General features: G+C 47.3%; 1 protein-coding gene across 8 annotated transcripts in view, besides 1 other annotated feature; it reads right to left on the reverse strand.

Annotated features, from left to right (window-relative positions):
* Window positions 1-23694, reverse strand: part of TTLL11 (tubulin tyrosine ligase like 11) — a 277635-nt gene that overhangs the window by 167625 nt on the left and 86316 nt on the right. For 6 of the 8 annotated variants that reach the window (XR_001746188.2, XR_929721.4, XR_929720.4 and 3 more), the window contains exon 4: window positions 5897-6472. The exons of 1 other annotated variant lie outside the window; for it this stretch is intronic. Coding sequence is in view for 4 of the 7 variants with exons in the window: in NM_001139442.2 (NP_001132914.2) it covers window positions 5897-6472 (576 nt within the window). In the remaining 3 variants the exon portion in view is untranslated. Of the gene's footprint in view, window positions 1-3734; window positions 6473-23694 lie in introns of those variants that run through there. One more of the 8 variants, NM_194252.3, reaches the window with a different exon arrangement.
* Window positions 2438-2939: an enhancer, noted in NCBI's record as "H3K4me1 hESC enhancer chr9:124748015-124748516 (GRCh37/hg19 assembly coordinates)". NCBI's record gives its function as "activates a minimal SCP1, AML or CMV promoter by ChIP-STARR-seq in naive H9 embryonic stem cells {active_cell/tissue: H9 hESC(naive)}" and the evidence as "EXISTENCE:reporter gene assay evidence [ECO:0000049][PMID:30033119]".

The following is a 23694-nucleotide window of genomic DNA, read 5'->3' on the forward strand; positions in this document are numbered from 1 at the left end:
TTGGACGTGTTCAGTGTTTGATGGCTATTAACTATCCAAGTAGAAAATTAAAGTGGGCACTGGGATATACCAATCTGGAGCTCAAGGAAAGGTCAGGACTGGAAATACAGCTATAGGCGCCAGTAGCGTAGAGCTGGTGCTTAAGGCCATGGGGGCTACGCGGGATCATTTAGGAGTGATTGTGAATAGGGGGACACCTTTCCAAGGATGGAGGCCTGAGACTCTCCAACACTGACAGGTCCAGAAGAAGAGGCTGAGAAGCAGCAGCCAGGGAGGTAGGAGGGAAACTGGAGTGTATCCTTCTATCATATTCTGCTTGGCAAACCCTTCTTCATGCTTTACGCTCCAGCTTAAGCATCTCCTCCTCTGGGAAGCCTTCCCTGACAGGGTTAGGCAAAGTTAGCGACTCCCTTTTCTGGGCTCTCCCAGCATCCCACATGGACCCTCTCATAGCATTTCTTTCTTACAAGGGACTGGAGTTCTCATGAGTCAGCTCTCCCCATTACACTGTGTGCCCCCTCAGAGCAGGGACCTTGTCTTATCCATAACCACATGCCCATACTAGCTCAGGGCTTGTCTTAGTGGGTGCCCAGGGAATGTGTTAGAGTCCAAAGGAAGAAAAAGCTGAAATATCAGAAGTTGTTTCTGGAGAAAGGGTTTATCTAGGAGGTGGGGCTTGAATAGCACCTTAGAAGGCGTTGAAGTTCAAGAAACAGCAAGAATGAGAGAGAGCATGCCAGGTCAGCCGAGACAGAAGAGAATCAAAGGGCAGCAATGGGAAAGCACAAATTATGTCCAAGACAGCAATTGGATCTGTTTTTCAAGACTGCAGAGCTCAGGGAGGGTACAGGGAAGCTAGACTGGGGTTGGGGTCAGGGGTGACAAATGCCAGGCTAAGGAGATGGTTTTCAAACTATACTCCTTGGAACACTTGTGTTCCTGTTAGGTTTAAAATGTGAATATTTCATGGTTTCTTACAACTTTAAGGCACTTCATCATAGACAAATTTGAGAGCTGTTGTGGTTACAGATAACAAACAATGGAATAAACATAAAAACTGTCATTTATTAAGTGATTCCTATGTGTTAGGTGCTGTGCTAAATATTCTTCCTAGTTTGCTCTTATTTGTGCTTACAATAATTCTGAGAGGGAGGTACAAATATGGTCTCTAACTGCAGATAAGGAAGCTGAGACTAAGAATTGTTAACTTGCCAAGCAGACCAGCTAGAGGTGCCAGGGTTAGCCCAAACCCAGGCCGTCTAAGAACCAAATCCAAGCCCTTGACCACTCACTGCATTGCTCCTTGGCCTTCTTCCCTTGGGGTGACTGGCTGAAGGGTAAGGAGGAGGTCAAAAAAACAAAGAATAAAGAGGAGAAACATCTTAGGATTTAGGAAGAGCATCTCCTTCAGGCATCTAAGCAAAAGGATCATGGCCAAGGAGATAATTAGATACAGGGAGCTAGAAGAAGATACAGACCAAGCAATGGAACTGGGAAAGAACGTTCTTGAAAGCTGAGCTGGAAGCCTTTCCTCTGCATGTGTTATTTCTGCCATATGATTCATCTACACTGAGACAGGCCTTGCTGTATAAGTCAGAGTCACACTGGTACCCTCAAGAAGGCTGACATGAGGATATGTTGCTGGGAGCTACCTAGGCAATGACAGGGGACAGGCTGGAATGACAGGGAAGCCACGTTCCTCAGCAGCAGATTACAGGAAACCTGCCCACAGCCTGAGCAGTGCCCGCAACTGCTCTGTGCCATCACAATTTCCCAAGTAGTTATTGTGGCTATGATTGGAAAGGGGTCACCGTCACATGTTTAAGATAAATGTAATTTCTTTGGCTAGAGTTTATGTTCTGGAATGCTGCAATCTGAGTCAAGCCCAGGCAACAAGCGAGAGGGGCTGTGTGGCAAAGAAGTCATGTGTTCTATCTGCACGGAACATTACAGCTTGAAAAGCCATTCACAATCTTTATCTCATTGGAATTTGACAACAACCCTTTGAGGTAGGCAAGGAAGATGAGGCACAGAGAAGTTAAGTGACTTATACAAGAATACACAGCAAGTCAATGGCAGAACCTAACCGGGTCCCTTAATCTCTAGGTTCCAAGTCAGCTCAGGTATGTGAGACCCAAACTCAAAAGTGTTCTTACAAGTGATAAGAATAAAGTAAGAGAGGGCTCCAAGGAGAAAAGGATACCATTTTCTTTTCTTTTTTTTTTTTTTTTTTTTTGAGACTGAGTCTCGCTCTGTCACCCAGGCTGGAGTGCAGTGGCGCGATCTCGGCTCACTGCAAGCTCCGCCTCCCGGGTTCACACCATTCTCCTGCCTCAGCCTCCCAAGTAGCTGGGACTACAGGTGCCTGCCTCAACACCCGGCTAATTTTTTGTAATTTTTTTTAGTAAAGATGGGGTTTCACCATGTTAGCCAGGATGGACTCGATCTCCTGACCTCGTGATCCGCCTGCCTCGGCCTCCCAAAGTGCTGGGATTACAGGCGTGAGCCACCGCGCCCGGCCCAAGGATACCATTTTCTCCCTTAATGACTGGGAATCTGAAATGTATGGTAAGACAAATTCCAAATATCTAACACCTTATACCCTGTCAAAGTGTTGTCACCCACATTACTTCACAATAAAAGGCAGGCAGGGAAGTGAGCGTAGGTGATTTACAGAGAAAGAAGCAGAGGCTCAGAGTGGTGAAGAAACATGCCCAAGTTCGCACAGCTGGGAAGAGGAAAAGCGCTTCCTTGATCCTGGCGTCTCCCCCCATGCTCCTCCTCTGGCCCAGGCCTGGAAGCATTTAGTGTGGTCAAGCAGTGGGAAACAGTCCCAAGACTGTGGTTCCACTTGCAGACATGATCTGTCCAAACCAGTGGCTCCCTCCCTGTCTGCCCCCTCCACCAGCTCCCCACAGCTTGGGCCCCACTGATGGCTGCCCCATGTGGCCTGTCCATAGCAAGACATGCAGCAAAACAACCAGCCTGGCCCTCCACCCTGCCACTCGGTCCAAGCCAGGGCTCTGTGGCTTGGCTCTGCATGCCGGGCCCACATGATAGTCCTAGAATAGCTGTCATTGTCAAACAGATCTGACCACATGGTCCCCCGGGATGACCCCTGGACGTGTCCACGTTGCAACTTATCTCCTTGACCCTAGCTTTTTGATGGCTTACGTCAGGACTTGTTTTCTCTGGCCCTACCTCTAAGTTCTTCCCTTTTCTCCTTTCTAATGTTTTAAGCCACCTACCTGATGGCTGAGCTGTGCATCCTCCCTGGGAACCAAAGGCCAGGGGTCCAGTTTCTCAGGACAGATTTCTGGGTGGCAATTACCCCTTCCTGGTACTGATCATGGCCTGAATAGCCCTCCAAAAGGTGCCGCCAGCCTGCCTGGAAATCCTGCTGGCTGGCGCCTAGCCCCTGGGGTGTCCTCTCTGGGTTTGAGGCTGCACTTTGGGACCAGCCTCCTCTTCTGCTGTTGAATGAATGCCCCATCCACTAGAGACACTGCCCCACTCCCTCCGTTCTCACTTCTTGTCCCAAGAGACCTGTCACCTGCTTGCCATAGACTGGAAATAACCCAAATGTTCCTTGACAGAAGAACTGATAATAAATTGTGCATATTCACAATGGAATCTATAACAGTGCAAATGAGGCAGTACCCACGACCCCCACCAGCATGGGTGGACCTTGGAAACCTTATGTGTAGTGGAAAAGAATGTTGCAGAAGACGCCATACTTTATAATAGCATTTTTATAAAACTCAAAAACAAGCAAAACAAAACAATATATTGTTTAGGGATACATTCATGCCTAATAAAAGTATTTTCAAAAGCAAGGAAATAATCAACATAAAATTCAGGGTAATGTCTACCCCAGGGCTGGGCAGGGACATGGTTTGGGGCAGAAACACACTAGTTGGAGATCTTGGGTTGGGAGGAAGGTTTGAGATAATCATTTTGTTGTTTGGCTTCATGGCTTACAAGTATGTTCCATGTATTCTTTTTTCATATATATCAAATGCTACAAAATGACTTTAAGGATTAGATGGAGAGGGTCCCAGAGGTACCCCTTCTTCTCTCCTCCTACCCACACTGATTGATCTGGGGGCAGGAAAGTGTGTACCTATGGAGTGTCTGGACACCACGTCTCCCCACCCTGCACTGTCACAGCTGAATGGCCTGTAAGAATGTTCCAGCCTCATTCCCTTCCCTCCCACACTCTGGCTGAGTCCACCAGACTCTGGCCCTGGCTCCATCGCTCTGCTGAAGACAATTCTCACTGAAGTCTCCAGTCAACTCCTTACGAGTGGAGAGGACAGTTTCAGTGCTGGTCTTGCCCGGCGTCTCAGCAGCATTTGAAGCGCTGACCCTGTCTGCTTCCCCAGGCACCTCATCCTTGCCATTCCGGCTCCTTCTCTCCTGATATTTATTCTATCTCAAGACACTGCTTCTTGGCCTCCTTTCCTGGCTCCCTCCCCCTCCCCTGCCTTTCCCTTAGTGAAATGTGATTCCCACAGGTGTCTTCTCAGTCTTCTCGTCACCCTCTTTGGTCACCATTTGCTGATGAGTTCTCATCTCTGTCCCCAACCCAGGCCTCTGTCTCCTGAACTCCAAGCTCCAAATAGCCAATTGTCCCCTTAATCTCTCCACTTGGATGTCACATAGGCACTTTAAGTCCAACTCCCAACCTTCCCCCAACAGCCTGGTCCTCTTCCGGGGCCTCCATCCATGCAAGTACCCAAGCCACCTGCACATCAGCCTCAGGTTCTCCCTGCCCTCACTGCCACCATCTCTCCTCTCTCTCCAGCCTCATCCAGTCACCAAGCTGAGCCCTTCTTGCTCCTTCCCTGGCACCCAGATCTGTCTATCCCCCCTACCTTCACCACAACCTTCCCAGTCCATACCACCATCCTCTCCAGCTTATGTGAAAGCAACTGTCTCCTAGGGACCTCCCCACTTCCAGCCTTGTCTCAGTGTGTTCTCTACTCTGTAGACACTGTTCTTTGAAACATACAAATTGGAATGCATCTTTCCCCTGCTTAAAATTCTCCAGGGACCACCCCCCCGAACCAATACCCAGGCTCTCGACACAGCCCCTACCTTTCTCTCCCACCTCACCTTCCCTCATCTCCCCCGCATCTCTGCCTTAAACCCCACCCAGCAACCATACTCAACCTCTTCCAGTGCCTCCTGCTTCCCACTCACCCCTCTGGCTTCAGCACATTTCCACCTGGAACCCTTTGCCTCCCCTACCCCTACCCAGTTTCTCCTGCTTCATCTAACTCTCGCTCCAGGTTTCAGTTCAACTGCTATTTCTTCTGGGAAGCCTTCCCTGACCACGCCACTCCCGCCCAGAGAATGTTACGTGGCCCCACGATCTCAGCACCTCAGACGTTTCTTATTCTACTCTAGCATTTAAAACCCTCCATAATCATTGCTTTTTAAATTATATGTCTCTCACAACAGACTCTATGCATCAGCAAGCAAGGCCCTGACTTGCTGTCTCAATAGAACCCAGGACAATGTCTGACCGCTACTAAGCATGTGGCAAAGGTTGTTGAATGAGTAAGTGAATGAATGAATGAGTAAACGAATGAATGTAAAACTCTGCTTTACATGTGTTATCTCATTTAATTCTTACAAGAACCTTTTAAGATAGGTATTCTTCATTTCATTTTACAGGTAACAGAGGGGAAGTAGCTTGCCCCAAATCACACAGGGAGCAAACAGAAAGCTTGGAAGTTGGGCCCAGGTTTAACACCCAAGCCCACAGCACCACCAACACTGTCCCCTCCTCTGGCCATCCCACCCCGATCACTCATCCTACACGAAGCCAGAGAGCCCTCTTGAGGCCGGTCAAGGCTGGAAACGCAGGCTGGGAACTGGCAATGGTTACCTGGAAGCACGTGGGGCCCGGCCTCCCCGTGGGGATGTCTGACTGGTAGAAGACTTTGAGCTCTGGAGTCAGCGCGATGACCGTCTTAATCACCACGGAGATGATGTCAGACCAGACCTTCTTGATGTCAACGCCTTTGGAAGACAGTCTACAAAGGATGCTGGAAAAAGTCCTTTTGCTGCCAGTGCTAGCACTGTCCGAGTGGATGAAGTTGCCGCTGTGGATGTTCAGTGAATAGTTGGTTAAGTGCATAAAGATGCGGTGCAGGTTTTTGGGGGTGGGCTCCTGATATGGCTCGGTACAAAACCTAGAGAGTCCGTCTTTGGCTATATAAATCTCTAAGGGGTCTAAGGACTTGAGTAAGACATACAGACGAATATCAAACTTGAGCTTGTCGATAAGGAGAGGTTTGCAGATGTACTCCTGGACCACCGCTGGCCTGCTCTGGAGGGTCCCTGCCAGGCGGATGTCACTGGGGTCTTTAATGAGGTAGATTCCATCACCCTGACAACCACCATCAGGTTTCACGATAAAAGTGGGCTTCCAGGAGGGGTCATCGTCTTTCACCATTTGAACCTGGAGGGGGAAAAAAGGATGGCCGACATTATATTGTTTTCCCTCTGGATCCCTAACACAGAGCAAGGCCTTAGCAAATGTGTGGTGAATGAGTGACAAGATGATCCCTGCCGATCTGAGCAGGGGCTGAGCATCTTCCATGGAGATGACACTGCACAAGGTACTGAGATGGTGACATCAGGACTGTCCCCAGTCTTGTGCTCCAGAGCGAGGTGGAGAGTGTAGTGGACTGGCAGTCACAAGACCTGGGTTCAAATCCTGTTTCGCCAGTTATTAGCTACCACTTTGAACAGGTCATATAACTAATAATAGTGCTGAGAATGATAATGATGGTGAGCTAATATCATTTATGAGCGCCTGTGAAATGCCAGGCACTATATCAGGCACTTACCTAATTAGCTCATCTAACCCTCACAGAAAATATGGTTGTGTCTTTTTATGTCAGGAACAGAGAGGGTACAGCAGTTGCTGAGGGCATGGGTGTTGGAGTCAGATGGCCTGGGCTCAGACACTGGCCCTGCTCCTTACCCTGCAGCCTTGGACAAGTGACTTAAGTTATCTACACCCTTTCCATCTGTGAAATAGGAGAAAGGTTGTTTTGAGGATTAAATGCAATCATAAATGCAAGAGGCTAAGGACCTAGAACCTGAGAAATAAAAGACAATCCAAAGCCTGGCTGTCACTCTTTTTAGAAGATGAAGTGACTTGCCAGCTAACGCGGGGGCAGAATTGGGATTGGAATCTAGATTGATGACTGAAGCCCTTGGACCTTCCTCTATCCTACCATGTCTTGGTTTCCTCACTTTAAAAATGGGGATATAGACACCTACCCTCACTGTGTCGTTGTAAGGATGAAATAAACTAAAACGTACAAAGGGCCAAGCGCAACACCAAACACAGAGCTGAGCTAGTGCACAGGAAATGTTTGTTTTATGTTTACATCCCTTCTAAAGTTCATCTGGTAGACCTGACCAATCCTTCCATCTGTTGAGATCTTTTTGAAACAAGATCCCGTCGTCCACAGTATTTGCTCTCCTCCCAGCTCCAGGTCAGCAGAACACTCACATAATTAACTATCCAGGCACTTGACCAGTCCAGATAGTCGATCTGGACCTGTGGGTCTGCATAATTCATCCTCGCCCCATTGCCCCTGATGCTGGTGAGGTGCTTCCTGCAGCTATGGAGAGCGGATGGACTGAAATGGCAGGAGAGGAGGTTTTCACAAGCAGAGAGAAGCTGGAGGAAATGTAAGGGTGGATTTGAAAGAGGGATCCATGCTCTCTGCAGCTTCTGGTGTGAAAGTTCCCCTCTGAAATCTGACAGCAGTGCCTGGCAGGCTGAGTTGGTGGGTGCCCCAGTGACAGACTCCTCTCAGCTCTCCACCTTTGCTGTGTAAGCCCAAGCCAGGACATCTGCACTCTGGCTTGTGCCTTGCGCTTATCTCTTTGACCAGCCTATATTTCTAAATAAAGCTTTTGCCAATTCCTTGGGCACTATCACTTATTCTGGGCTTGTAAAAGATCTTTAACAATGGAGAAACACTTAAAGCCTTAATAATGGTCCACATCAATTGTTTCCCCTTGTCAGCAGGATCCGAGAATGGAACTTCACAAGAGATCAATGCAAGCCTCCCAGGGCCTTCCACTGAGGCTTTCTTGCAACTGTGACCTTGACGTTTATGTAGTTATTTAATATTCAACCAAAGCATTCGTACACTTGGCCCTTTACAGTAAATATAAGTGTGCTGGACAAATGGCAGTTATGGACCAGGAAGTGAAAAATGTCAAGTTTGCACTGATGGGAAATTTTTCCCTCTGGAAAGCTTTTGCTATGCCGAAGACACTAACAGTTCAATATATTATCCAGAGCAATATTTTCTCCTTTGAATTCCATGTATATGCCTTAAATAAATTAAACTACCTGGTCAATAGTCTCCGTCACTCATTGGATTCCTGAATACTTCTGCTCTTTGCCAGAATAGTGCCATACAAATCAAGATTATTAATACTCATAGAATCATTGAATTTTTAGAACTAGAAGAATCCTCAGGGATCATCATCACCCAGTACTCTCAAAAGTCAAGGGGGAAACGGAGGCTCAGAGAGGTGACGTGACTTCCCTTGGGTCCCACAACTGGCTGGCAGTATGGTCAGGATGAGAACTGAGGTCTCCCGACCCCACCTCAAGTTTGCGGTGCCATTTTTGCCTCTAAGATAAAACTGAAGATCTCTTGTTCCTCCGCTTACTGTAGGAAAGATCCTCCTAATGTATCAGACAGCACTGAGGTCTGTACTCTGGCCTCACCCTAAAGATTTTGGCCCTGAGTATGGCCATCCAGGAACTATATCTGTAGATCCTGAGTTGGCCAGACTGCCCCAGTTTCAAATCTTCTGTCTGGGTTCCTTGCTTGTTAAAGCGCAGGTGTGATTTACAGGAAACCCTCACAATTGTTCAGAACGTGGTTCCCATAGCCACCAGACCCTTCCGCCACTACTACCCTAAAAAGAGAAACATTTTTCAGAATTCATATTCACTCTCCTCTGAGGTTTATTCAAGAATGACCCTTTCCCAGCAGTTATTAAAGTTAAAAAGTAACACGTTGGCTCTTAAAAAGAAGTCATGGACCAGAATGAAAATATCATCGATATTCCTGGGCCCCAGCCTCAGCAATTCTGATTTAATCGATCTGAGATGAGACCTGGGCATGTGTATTCTGGAAAAATCACCGCAGGTGATTCTGATGAGCACTCTGTCTGAGAATCACTAGACTAAGTGAATTAAATAAAAATACCATCTGAAACCAACATATTGAATGAAGTATTCTGCACTGGTGTTAGCTGGAGTGTGAGGAAGACTCGCGCTTATGCTACAACTGATGGTATCTCTAGTTTTATCCAAACCTGCTGTTGGACCTGAAATCCATTACCTTGTAACGGTATACACGGATGGCTGAAAGAGATACACAGAGGAGGTGGTGGCCTAATTGCCTGGCACTCCGCGGGCCTACTGAAAACTTTATGTGGCTTTTACTGCCCCCTAGTGGACATTTAGAAACCGCTACTGGGAAAGTCACCCCGTTCAAAATTCCAACACTACTGAGCAGTAAGATACTCTACTAAGACATTAAAATGGTCTTAAAGAAACACCACTACAAATGAAATATTATTCAGCCTTAAGAAGGAAAGAAATTCTCACACATGGCACAAAATGGATGCATCCTGAGGATACTATGCTAAGTGAAATAAACTAGACCCAAAAAGACAAATACTGTAAGTAAGAATGCACTTATATGAGGTACCTAGAGCAGTCAAATTCATAGAGACAGAAATTACAATGGTGTTTTCCAGGGCTGGGGTGGGAGGGAATGGAGAATTAATGATTATTGGGTACAGAGTTTCAGTTTTGCAAGATAAAATAAGTTCTGGACATGGATGATAGTTGTACAAAAATGTGAATGTACTTAATGCCACTGTACACTTAACATACATACAATGTACATTTAAAAATGGTTAATCTGGTAAATCTTGTCATGTATATTTTACCAAAATTTTAAGATTAATTTTTAATTTTTTTAAGTCATAGCTTTTGGTAAGTTAGAGATAGTACTATAGTGAAAAACAGAAAATCTGGATTTTAGTCCCAATTGTTTCTGACTGTGTGACCTCGAGAAAGTCACCTAACTTTCTGGGCTTTGTTGTAGTCACCTATAAAATAAAGGGGTCAGACTAAGGTCCCTGGCTTCCGCCAGCGAGCAAATGCTGAACCATGATTTATCTTGATATCACCACAGTCGAAGGCTGCGTTACAAACACACAAGTGGCATTCATCACGTCGGAGAGTTCCTGCTGTGCTGTTGGGATCAGCACATTGGGATGATCTATAAGAGGAGGAGATTTGGGTCTGAGATTTATGATGCATTTGAGGAAATCAGCAGGGCATTTGGAGGAAGCAAGCTAAAATGTTTGGAGGGAGAAATTCAGCAACTAGAATATCAAGCCACAAAACATTATTAGCAATGAGGGGCAGGTAAGAGGCCAATTTCTGAAGAAATACTGTGTCTGCAATACTGGGGAAGTCAAAACCAGTTAGGGCAGTCCTTTGTCACTCAGGTGGATTTGCATCCAATCTTAGCAACTCAGACCTTTGATGTCACAGGTACACGCTACAGATCTCAGGCAAAAACAAGCCTCTGGTAGACAAAATCAGTGTCACACGGTGCATGCCAGACAGGAGGCAGGGCCAGCCCCTGCCAGCCTCAGGGATATGAGCCTGGTACCCAGGGCAAATTCCTACCTCAATGTTCAGGGCAATTTCTGAGTCCACTTAAGATGGAAGGCAGTCTGCAGTGAGGTCACCTAGGGCCAGATGGAAAGGGCAAGAATGGCCTGTTGGGGCAGAGTGGGAGACAGAGCAGTGGGGCAGAAAGGAAGGACCTGGGCAGATGATGTGCTGCTTCGGTGGGGGGTTATGAAGGCAGGAGCGGGCAGGACACTTCTGGGAAACTGTAGATAGTTCCGACGGCTGGAGAACATAAGAGGTGGAGGGGGTATGCACATGGAAATCCCACTAGTGAGATTGGCAGGGGCCAGATAATACCACCACCACGAATAATAATAATAACATTAGCACACGCTTACTGAGCACTTATTATGGGTCAGGCACTGTTCTAAGCACTTTGGAGGTATTATCTCACTTAATCCTCACAACAATCCTATTTTACAGATAGGGAGAGGGAGGCCCAGAGATGTCAAGTAATTTGTCAAAGATTACACAGCCAATAGGTCACAAAGGCAGGATTTGAACCCAGGCAGGCAGATTCCAGAGCCCATGCCAGAATGAATGAGAGATGTATGAGAAGGGGATGGAGGAAGATCAGGCCTAGCTAGGAAGTAAGAGTCTCATAGGGAAGGCCCTTGAATGTTGGTTTAGAGTTTGAGCAATGTCCTAAAATGATGGGGACTCCCTGAAAGGTTTTGAGAAGAAAGCAACTTAATTAGATGTGTATTATGGGATGATGCCTCAGGCTGTCACATAGAAAATTTACCCAAGTGGTTGGATGGTCTGGGGCAGACAGGAAAAGTCCAAACTGAGGCTGCAGTGGAGTCAGAGGGAAGGACAGAGGTTTGGGAAATATTTTGGAGCTAAAATCAACAAAACTGGATGACTGGGAGAGAGAGACAGGAACATAAAGGATAATCCCCCTATGTCTAGGTAGTCACAGGGAATATAAGGGAATGAGGAAAGGCAGAGGGGAGGCAGTGGGAAGATGATGAGCTGCACAGAGGACCCTGGAGGGCACGCACCTAGAGAGGTTTGTGGTCCCTGGGAAATGTGTCTGGAGCTTGGGAGAGAGATCTGGGGTCGTCAGGCCCCCAAGGATGGCCAAGGCCCTCGCAATGGGCCAGATTATCCAGAGACAGGATAGAGAGGAAGAAGAGGGCACCTGGGAGCCAGAGGCTGGAACGGGCAGAACAGACCCCAAACACCCTGTATTTATACTCGATCTGCAGGCGAAGGATGGAGTTTCAACTGGCGAGGGACATGCATCCACGCATCACCAGGGCACCCAGGAGGAAGATAGTTTGGAAGGAATGAAACCAGGTGTAGGAAGGACCCGAGGCTATCAAAGGTCCAAAGGCCTGAGCTGGGGCAGGGACAATGCGGTTGAAATAGGGAGCTGAGAGAAGAGGTAGAATCAGGGCACCTGGTGACTGGACAGATGTGAAAGGCGAGAGAGGAAAGGGTCATGGGTGAGCTCACGGTTTGGGACTTCAGCAATTTTGGGAGGGGTGATGTTACCATTAACAGATTTAGGGACTACAGGGAGAGGAGCAGGTCTCATTGAAGGAAAGTGGGGACAAGGAGAGGAGGAATTCACTTCATCTAATGAGTATTATTTGCACGACTCCAGACAGAGCTAATTTAGGACTTTATAATATCCCGCAAGCCCTCTACTGTTCATCGGAACCAGGCCAGGTTGTCCGATATCTCCTACAGATGATTAATTCTGATACAACAACTCTCCCAAGCTTGGAAAGAATAAGAGCTGCTGTCCGACAGGGATGAGACTCAGACTCTAAACTCAGATGGCGCATACCTCGAACTGGAGCACAGGTATCCGAACAGACCTCTCAAGCTCCGTGGTGAGCGCGGGAACCACGGGCCCGTGAGAAGTAGTGCCTGCCACTGTGCAGGCAAACATTTTCAGCACTCCCTGGCTTTTGAAGAGTTCCAGTTAAGAAAATCTAAGCAGCAAAGAAAGCACCCTGTTCGGCTTATCACTGATGAGTATCCTGAGTTTACTGGGGCAGTGGCATCGATTACCCCTGAGGATTTGGGGCTGACCCCCTGCATGCACTCCTCGAGTGGCCTGGATGGTCCTCCCTTCCTTGGCAGCCAGCACCAATGCACCCTGGCAGTCTCACTTCCTGCCCTTCCCTCCTGTCCTCTCTCACCTCTATGCCTTTACACCGGCTTTCCCTGGACCTCCACCGACCTCCTGCCCTTTCTTTGCCTGTAAAGCTCCTGCCCATCATCTATGGTCCCTTGGGAAGTTCCCTCTGAGAACTGGCCTGCAACCCTCTATACAGACATCTTTTCCTTCCCAAAGTCCTTCTCCATATTGAGCTTCCCCATATCTTCATGACCAGCCCTTTGAGGTCCAGGAAGGAATCATCACTACACACACACACAGACACACACACACATGCACACACATGTATAGAGTACACACATGCGAGCACATGCACACACATGCACACGTACACACTTTATAAACAAAGAAACTGAGGCCAAGGGGCAAGGAGACTTGCCCAAGGCCACACAGCTAGTAGCAGAACCAGAACTATTAGGGAAAGTATGTGAAAACCACAATTACTTTTGCACCAACCTAAATAATACATTAAATCTTCTGATATCCAACCCTAAGCTCTTTCTACCATAATTAATTCAGGGATCTGAAGAAATCTTTCAGAAGAAACCTTGGAATAAGTACTCTCTTTCATTCTCGTTCTGAACACATTTGTTTGCTGCTATTATAAATTTTGATGCTCTGCAAAGATATTACTTTATGTAATTGCCAACTCTCCACTCTATGGAGAATGAGGAAATTGAGGCCCAGAGAGTCCAGTGAGAAATCTACAGTCATCTAGCTAGAAGGCGGAAGTAAAGCGTCAGTTCTGGGCCACGCTGCCCTTTCTTTGAAGATGTTCTCAAGTTCACTGTGGAGGTGGACACAGCATCACACGGCTGCTCAAGGCAGCTGGTGCTTCTGCTCAGAAAACTTGAGGGGCAAGGAAGAGCCTCTCCACATGCTTTACCCCAATGCCAGCCTGCTGCCAATGCAACTTAATGGACCCTGCTTTTGGAGAACAGCAGCCTTCTGTGAGCCATAATCTACCCATCATTAGTGAGCAACAAAAAAGCCTCTCTAGAACACGCCCGGGACACTGAAACCTGTTTGATAGGAAGGGCCGTCGTACCGTGAGACTCTCCATTTTCCTCTCAGGTCCCTTCTCACACCCTGCCCCTAACTGCTGGAGCTGAGGGGAGTGAGAACACAGCCTGGCGAGTCAGCCCTGCCTGGCCTCCCCACTCCTTCCCCACAGTGCAGTCCCAGCCAGCCTCTGTCCAGCCCCACCTAATTCCCCTACCATGTGGGTTCTAAGCCCAGCTTGCTTGGCCTAAAGCCTAGCTTCCTAAGGACCCTGGGTGACACAGGCGCACGTGGGGGCCCTCAGACTGCAGCTTCCCTTTACCTCCTCCGAGTCCACATACTGGGTGTCTGCAAGCAGCAGCTGCAGAGAGGGCGTGGGCTTCGGAGTCAGGCAGACCTGGGTTCAGATCTCAGCTCAGCCACTTCCTAGCTGTAGGACCTTGGCCAAGCTACTTACTCCCTCTTATGGTACTATTTTTAGCATTTCATTTAATTTGTATTAGGCTGCCTTGGTTTCCTGATCATCCTCCTAAGTGATCAGATTCCCAGGTGAGGCTCATTCCAACCTACTTGGAGGGAGTCTCAGCTCCTGCCTATCCTATCCTATCCTCCAGTGCTCGCCCATGGGTGGCTGGGACCCGTCTCCTGAGACTCGGCTGTTTCCTGGGTCTGCCTGGGTGTCAGCCTCTCATTTCCCAACTCCTGGGGGCCACCCCATCAGAGTCCAGCCCACAGCCTGCCTCGTCTCCCTGGCCCACAGCCTCATTCTCCTCCCCCAGGTCTCCTACTGAGAGCCCAGAAGACATCACAGCTGAGCCTGCCTGGAACATAACACTCCACTGCTGAGTAAGCTCCCCTTGCAGCTAAAATTGTTTTTCCAATAGTGAGGATTTCCTGCTAATGAACTGGCTACATAATCTTCAGCTCACTTCCGAATGTATACGACTGGTTATAGTCACAGGCGCTTCAGATCACTGGGCCCAGCTTTTCCTCCTTCCCCACACCACAGTCCTATGTCCCTTGCAGTCCTGCCATAATTTACACATTAAGTCGCTTAGGGTTTTTTTCATTTTGTTTTGTTTGTTTGTTTTGTTTTTTTGAGACAAAGTCTTGCTCTGTCACCCAGGCTGGAGTGCAATGGCGTGATCTCGGCTCACTGCAACCTCCGCCTCCTGGGTTCAAGCGATTCTCGTGCCTCAGCCTCCCGAGTAGCTGGGATTACAGGCACCCGCCACCACATTCGGCTAATTTTTGTATTTCAGTAGAGACGGAGTTTCACTACGTTGGTCAGGCTGGTCTCAAACTCCTGACCTCAAGTGATCCACCCGCCTCGACCTCCCAAAGTGCTGGGATTACAGGTGTGAGGCACCGCACCCAGCCTAAACTTTTTTTTTTTTAATGCAAGAATATCAATGTCTTATTTTGCAACACTCAAACAAGGTGCCCTCCCTCCCAGTGCTCTTTTCGCTAAACTAGCAGTATTGCTCAATTGCAGTATTGAGCAATTGCAGTATTGATCAGTGCCAGGCAGTGCACTAGGCACGTCAATATGTATACATGAGATCTAATCCTACAAGACAGGCAATAGCATTTTCATTCACTTATTCATTTGTTTGTTTGTTTATTGTCTTGCTATGTTGCCCAGGCTAGTCTCGAACTCCTGAGCTCAAGCAGTCCTCCTGCCCCAGCCTCCCAAAGTGCTGAGATTATGGGCATGAGCCACTGTACCCGACCCAGAATTTTCATTTTTAGGCTTTGTAACTAGAGGTTTCTCCCCATATTCCAAGATCCTACAAAAAAGTGGCAGAGTTAACTACACTGCTAACTCCTTGAAGACAGGGGCAGTATTTCCCTCATCCCTCGATTCTCTTGCCCACTACATCCCCAGCTATCACTGGAAGAGCCTTAATGGAGGCGGACTCAGTAAATGCTTATGGGAACCCACCTCTGTCTCATTTGGTTCAATGCTGTCATGTTCTATCCAGGATCACAGGTGACATTTCTTCAAACGCTAATCCTGGGTGATGCCAACCACTTCCTGGACTTCAGTTAAAGTATGCCCCAAAAGCAGATAACTCCCCACTCTCTATCTCTGGAGCGTACCTCTCTTGGGCTCCAGACTCATACAATGAGATATGTCAAATATGACACGTCCAAAACTAAGCTCATTGTCTTTTCTCTCAAATCTACCCCTCCTGTGTTCCCTCTAACAGTAAACATTACCACCATCCATCCATGTCCCCAAGCCAGAGATCTGAGATCACCTTCTCCCACATCACTCACCCCCACCCAGTCATCAAATTGACATTTCTCCATCTGAACACACCTTACAGTCCCTGAATCGTCTCAGCATTTCTCACCTGAATTGCTGCAATAGCTTCCTAGGTGACCTGACTGCAGTACAAGCTCTGTGCTGGGCACTTCCCATACATTAGTTTCCATTCTAATAAGCAACCCTGTGAGATAGGCATTAAAGGGTGAGCCACATCAAACTGTCATTTTTATAAGCCAAACCCAGCTACACACACACCCACACACGTGCGCGTGCACACATTTGCATGTGATTCAACCTCATACTATTATTATTACCCACCAGCCCCCATCACAGGCAAGGAAACTGAGATTTACAGGGTAATTTATTTCCCCAATCACACATTTTATACCCTGGGGAGCCAGGATCTGAACATGGGTGTGTGTTCAAATTTCCAAAGGCCACACTTTTTCTGCTAAATCATATCATCTTCAGGTCCACATATCAGTTCCTAGAAGAATGCTCACAGCCCTAAATACATTACTTAGAGTATTAATACATCTTAATACTTTTATTAGAGGTGTTTGAACCAGAGCCACTCCATCTTAAATAGGATCTGGGTAGAATGAGGCTAAAACCTACTGTGCTGCATTCGCAGAAGGTGAAGGCATTCTAAGTCACAGGATGAGACAGGAGGTCAGCACAATATACAGGTCATAAAGACCTTGGTGATGGCTGGGTGCAGTGGCTCACGCCTGTAATCCCAGGACTTTGAGAGGCCGAGGCAGGCGGATCACGAGGTCAGGAGATGAAGACCATCCTGCCTAACACGGTGAAACCCCATCTCTACTAAAAATACAAAAATATTAGCCAGATGTGGTGGCGGGCACCTGTAGTCCCAGCTACTCTGGAGGCTGAGGCAGGAGAATGGTGTGAACCCAGTAGGCGGAGCTTGCAGTGAGCCGAGATCTCACCACTGCACTCCAGCCTGGGTGACAGAGTGAGACTCCGTCGCAAAAAAAAAAAAAAAAAAAAAAAAAAGACCTTGCTGATAAAACAGCTTGCTGTCAAGAAGCCAGCTGAAACCCACCAAAACCAAGATGGCAACAAGAGTGACCTCTGGTCATCCTCACTGCTACACTCCCACCAGCGCCATGACAGTTTACAAATGGCATGGCAACGTCAGGAAGTTACACTATATGGTCTAAAAATGGAGGCATGAATAATCCACCCTTTGTTTAGCATGTCATCAAGAACCATAAAATGGGCAACCAGCTGCCCTCGGGGCTGTTGTATGGAGAAGCCATTCTTTTATTTGTCTACTTTCTTAATAAACTTGCATCCACTTTACTTTACGGACTTGCCCTGAATTCTTTCTTGCACGAGATACAAGAACCCTCTCCTGGGGTCTGGATCAGGACCCGTTTCTGGTTACACTTTAAAATGTTATTAACAGTAATACATAACAGTAACAACTACCATTTATGGGCACCTATAAGGTGCCTTACAATAGTTATTTCACTTAATCTCCACAGCTAAGTTATGAGAAATCTACTGATATTGGTTTTTTTCTTTTTCAGGTTTTGTTTTGTTTTGTTCTTCAGTACCTTGTTTGTGTGTATGTGTGTGCAACACTGTTTTTTGGTTTTTGTTTTCTTGACATGGAGTCTCACTCGTCGCCCAGGCTGGAGTGCAATGGCGTGATCTCGGCTCATTGCAACTGCGGCCTCCGAGGTTCAAGTGACTCTCCTGCCTCAGGCTCCCGAGTAGCTGGGATTACAGGCGTGCACCAACACACCTGGCCAATTTTTGTATTTTTAGTAGAGACGGGGTTTCCCCACGTTGGACAGGCTGGTCTCCAACTCCTGACCTCAGGTGATCCACCCACCTTGGCCTTCCAAAGTGTTGGGATTACAGGCTTCCAGGCGTGAGCCACCGCACCCAGCTGCAACACTGTTCTTAATAATGTTACAAATAAGGATCTGAGACTGAGCAAAGCCAGGTGACCTGCAGATCACACAGGAGGTGGTGAGCCAAGAGGCAGGGGGTGGGAATCATGAAGGGGGAAGGGGGGGCGGGACAGGGAAGCTAAGCCTACTTCAGGGGTCAAGGTCGCCAAGATGGACACTCGCCCTGAGTCCCAGCGGCACAGCCTGTGCTTGGATCAGGTTCACAAGCCCAGGGTGGGCAGAGACAGCAGTGCAGAGCTGGTGCTTCTGGGCAACAGCTCTGACCTCTAAAGAGAACTGGCTGGAAACCAACACACCAAGAGGATAGTTTTAAACACCCACCCAGCCACTCAGAGAGCCTGGTCAGGGCAGCCAAATGCCTGCCCAGGAACGGGACACTCAGCCTGATCATTTACACCATGAGAGTGAGAACAAGATCTGCTGCAAGCCTCTGGATTTCAACTGCTGGTTTAAATTTCAAGGAGAAGCACGAAGGTGTTGACATGTAAGGAATTACTTGTACATGCCTTTGATCACCCTAAAACTCCAGGGTGTTCTAAATGAGTGTGCTGGTTGGAAGCCAAGCTGAGCTGAGTTCTACAAAGGAACTCCTACTGTGCCACTGGAGGCTGCTACAGAAGCCACGTTTCCTTAAATCAACACTGCCTGTTTCCCCAACTTTCATTTCAATGGCATCAGGTGGCCACGGGAAAACAGGACCTTGGGCTAAGCCCCCTCTCATGGGCTCCCAGGAAATGTTAGCCCGGCACCTGCTTCCTGACCTCTGGCCAGTCACTTCACCTGGGTGTTCATTTGCAAGGAAACCTCTCTGCTTCCTTAATAAATCAGAGAGGGACACTGAAGGCAGCCTCTCTTTGGGGAAACAGATGCCCCGACTGCTCTTCCAAATTTACTTTCCCTTTGGGGATATCTCGCTAGCCACTACCACGACCACAACGGTCTTAGGACAGGGAGGGAAGTTTTGATACCCTTTAATGCTCTGGACAACACCTGGGCTCCAACTCTTTCCTTAGGCCCCTGTAGCCATAGACATAGCTTCTGAGATTTTATTAATGACTCAAGGAGAGGAGAAGGGAAATAAATACAGAGAAAAGCACTGATAATTGTGTTTACAGGATACTCTCATCTCAGCATGACAAAGCTCTTTAGTTTGCTCTTAGATGGCAGAGGCAATGTTTTCCCATCCCCTGGGAAAACATCCAGATTCCCTGGAGGCTCAGCTTTAAGAGATCTCCAGTGGCTGGGTGCGGTGGCTCATGCCTGTAATCCCAGCACTTTGGGAGGCTGAGGCAGGCGGATCACGAGGTCAAGAGATCGAGACCATCCTGGCCAACATGGTGAAACCCCCGTCTCTACTAAAACTACAAAAATTAGCTGGGCGTGGTGGCGCATGCCTATAGTCCCAGCTACTTGGGAGGCTGAGGCAGAAGAATCTCTTGAACCTGGGAGGTGGAGGTTGCAGTGAGCCGAGAGCACACCACTGCACTCCAGCCTGGCAACAGAGTGAGACTCTGTCTCAAAAAAAAAAAAAAAAAAAAGAGATCCCCAGCGTGTCGAGCCTCCCTGCCAACCCACCGGACATTGGAAAGTCCACCCAGCTTAGGAAAACCTCACCTATGACCCACAAAGACAGAACAGCTATGCCACAGTCTCAACAGGACAGCTATTTCAGGATGTCAAGATAGAATACCATGAGCTAAACAGCCACAGAAGAAATATGTATAAGAAATAGCAAGGTATGTGTTACTCAATAGCATCAATATCTTCATCTGTCAAAGAGAGATGATCATAAAACCTCTCCGGTCCAGCACTTCCCAGACTTGCATGGTCAGGGAATGCTTTTAAAATTATAATGTACTTGGGGGACATCAATAGGCACTCATACATATTCAGATTAATAATGTGGACTGATTATAATGTCATATATAAGATATGGTGATATGGTGATGTTAGTCAATGGTGACGTTAGTCAATATATATTATAACATTTTAGCAATTAATCTGTGAGACCATTTACTTTTTTGCCTTCAACTTTAATCGAAATATGCATACGTTCCTTTTTTTTTTTTTTTTTTTGAGATGGAGTCTCGCATTGTCGCCTAGGCTATAGTGCAGTGGTGCAATCTCGGCTCACTGCAACCTCTGCCTCCCAGGTTCAAGCGATTCTCCTTCCTCAGCCTCCTGAGCAACTGAGATTACAGGCACCTGCCACCACACCCAGCTAATTTTCTTGTATTTTTAGTAGAGACAGGGTTTCTCTATGTTGGTCAGGCTGGTCTCGAACTCCTGACCTCGTGATCCACCCGCCTCAGCCTCCCAAAGCGCTGGGATTACAGGCATGAGCCACCGCACCCAGCTGCATACATTCCTTCTTTATGTTTTGCCTGTATGATGTTTAAAGTGTCTCGGCCAGGCATGGTGGCTCATGCCTGTAAAATCCCAGCACTTTGGGAGGCCGAGGTGGGTGGATCATGAGGTCAGGAGTTTGAGACTCCTGACCAACATAGTGAAACCCCGTCTCTACTAAAAATACAAAAATACAAAAAGTGGCTGGGTGTGGTGGCACGCACCTGTAGTCCCAGCTACTCAGGAGGCTGAGGTGGGAGAACTGCTTGAACCCAGGAGGCGGAGGTTGCAGTGAGCCGAGACCACGCCATTACACTCCAGCCTGGATGACAGAGTGAGACTCCATCTCAAAAAAAAATAATAAAATAAAAATAAAAAGTACCTCATGGTTATCTAACCAAAGGGTGAAATTCAAGAGCAGCAGAGATAAATCTGGCTGATTTTCCTCTGATAAATCATTTTGTCCTGAGCTTGAAGCCCTTTCTGGAAGATGCTCCAAACATGTCAGACTGGGGGAAGGAAAGAGAAAGAGAAAGAAACTAATATGCATTGAGCATCAGGATGCTGAATGCTTTACAGCATTTTTTTTTTTTTGAGACTGGGTTTCACTCTTATTGCCCAGGCTGGAGTGCAATGGTGCGATCTCTGTTCACTGCAACCTACACCTCCCAGGTTCAAGCACTTCTCCTGCCTCAGCCTCCCAAGTAGCTGGAATTACAGGCATGCACCACCATGCCCAGCTAATTTTGTATTTTTTTTTAGCAGAGACAGTGTTTCACCATGTTGGTCAGGCTGGTCTCAAACTCCTGACCTCAGGTGATCCACCCACCTCAGCCTCCCAATACAGCATTCTTATTAATACTCTCTCGTTCATCTTTCCAACGCCCTTATGAGATAGCGATTATTTGAGTTTGATAGACTGAAAGCAGTACTGCAAGGCCACATATGTCACCGTGGATGGAATCAAATGCAGTCTGGCCAGCCCCAGGGCCCAAGTCTTTCCATGACACCACGTTGGCGGAGGCCATGGGGCAGTGAGCCTCAGTGTACCTGCTCACACTTGAGTAGTCTTTGCCTTCCTACTGTAATAAAAGCTCCACAAAGACAAGAACCACATCAGCTTGGTTCAGCACAATACTCTCAGTGCCAAGTACAATGCCAGAGACTGAAGAAAGCCCAGGAGACATGGATACAATTTTGGCATTTCTAAAGGGTTCTCATAGGGGCTATAGGTAACACCCATGTCCCTGGGATCAAGAGGGCCTAACTGCTCCCAGAGAGGACAGAAAGGAGGATGAGACACAGGGAGAAACGTGTCAACTCAGGAATATTTTAAAAGAGCAGTCCTGTCATGTGACAAAGTACCTTGAGAAATAGTAAATTGCCCGTTTCTGAAGATGATCAAGTACAGGCTGGAGCCTGATCATCTGTCCGGGTGCGGAGGGGATTCACTCGGCGGGGGAGTGGCCTGGATGGTCTCTCAGGTCCTTTCCAACCCCTAAGATTAGGTTATTTGTTGGTACTGACTTCAACTCAAGGCCCAATTAGTGTCTGACTTGCTATGTGACTCAGCCAAGTCTCTTTCCCTCTCTGGGTCTCAGTTTCCTTATCTGTACGATGGAGGCATCTGTATGAATAACCCCATTGATAATTCTGCTCAGGGCTTCCAAGATCCTACACACTCTCTAAAGAACAAGGGTTATGATAAGGTTGCCTGCAGGGTGGCATTGGGCTAAGAGGTCACAAACCTTCTTGCTGGTGCCCTCTCTGCACACAAGTTCTGGCTACCCTGGCAATGAACTCAGGCCACTTCCCCAGCCAGGCAGGGAGACAGACCAGGTCCATTCTGATTCAGAAATTAAGTGGGAATCAGGCAAACCAGTAGTATTAAACATAATTCTGGAATGTGTCAAAAATCAAATGCCCTCCAGCAATATAACAACATGTTCTTCAAGGAAGAGAGATGAAAATCCTTCTGCTCCAGAAGGATCCATCCGTGTAACTCAGTGGAGCTGGTACTGCCACCTAGGGAGGGTTTTGGAAATTTCCAGGGGTGTTTCTCACTGTCACAATGTATGGAAGTTATTACTGGGCAGAGGCCTGGAGTGCCACACAGACAGCCATGAGCTGGGCAGTCCTGCCACACCTTAATAAAGGTGAATAATCTATCTGTATATAACATGAAGACAGCCTAGACTCTAACTCCATGTTACATATAAAGTGTTTTTACAAGGTTCAAACTGAGTATCACAATATTCCAAGAATATAAGAATCATGTAAATAAGGGCCAGGCACAGCGGCTCACGCCTGTAATCCCAGCACTTTAGGAGGCCAAGGCGGGTGGATCACTTGAGGTCAGGAGTTCGAGACCAGCCTGGCCAACATGGTGAAACCCCTGTCTCTACTAAAAATACAAAAATTAGCCAGGCATGGTGGCGGGTGCCTGAAATCCCAACTACTCAGGAGGCTGAAGCAGAAGAATTGCTTGATCCCAGGAGGCAGAGGCTGCAGTGAGCTGAGATGGCACCACTGCACTCTCCAGCCTGGGTAACAGAGTGAGACTATCTCAAAAAAAAAAAAAGAATTATGTAAAGAGAGAAATTACATTTTGCTTTTTTTTTCTGGATTTTTTTTTAGTTTATTTGATATTTCAGAAACATCACATCACTAATGATATTGCGGACCATGGTATTTGAGTCACTCATACAACACCCAGTGATTATATAGGAAAATAGTTCAAAATGTTACATATGAAGAAATATTAGAGAGACTATAATAACTAATCAAATATTGTCTCACTTTTCTTATATCTAAACTTATTCATTATAGGTAGTGGTAGCATCTGACCACTTTATTATGTCACAGAGTATAACGGTGCCAAAGCATTTACTTATTGAATTGTATAGCATTTCATTATAAAGAGCTTTTCTGGCCACATGTGGTGGCTCACACCTGTAATCCCAGCACTTTGGGAGGCCAAGGCGGGAAGATTACTTGAGGCCAGGAGGTTCAAGACCAGCCTGGCCATCATGATGAAACCTCATCTTTAATAAAAATACAAAAATTAGCCAGGTGTGGTGGCACACGCCTGTAATTCCAGCTACTCTGGAGGCTGAGGCATGACAGTGTCTTGAAACTGGGAGGCGGAGGCTGCAGTGAGCCAAGATCAAGCCACTCCACTCCTCGGTGGCAGAGCGAGATACTCTGTCAAAAAAAAAAA

The sequence above is a fragment of the Homo sapiens genome, chromosome 9 (genome assembly GCF_000001405.40).
Source record: "Homo sapiens chromosome 9, GRCh38.p14 Primary Assembly".
NCBI classification, from domain to species: Eukaryota; Metazoa; Chordata; class Mammalia; order Primates; family Hominidae; genus Homo; species Homo sapiens.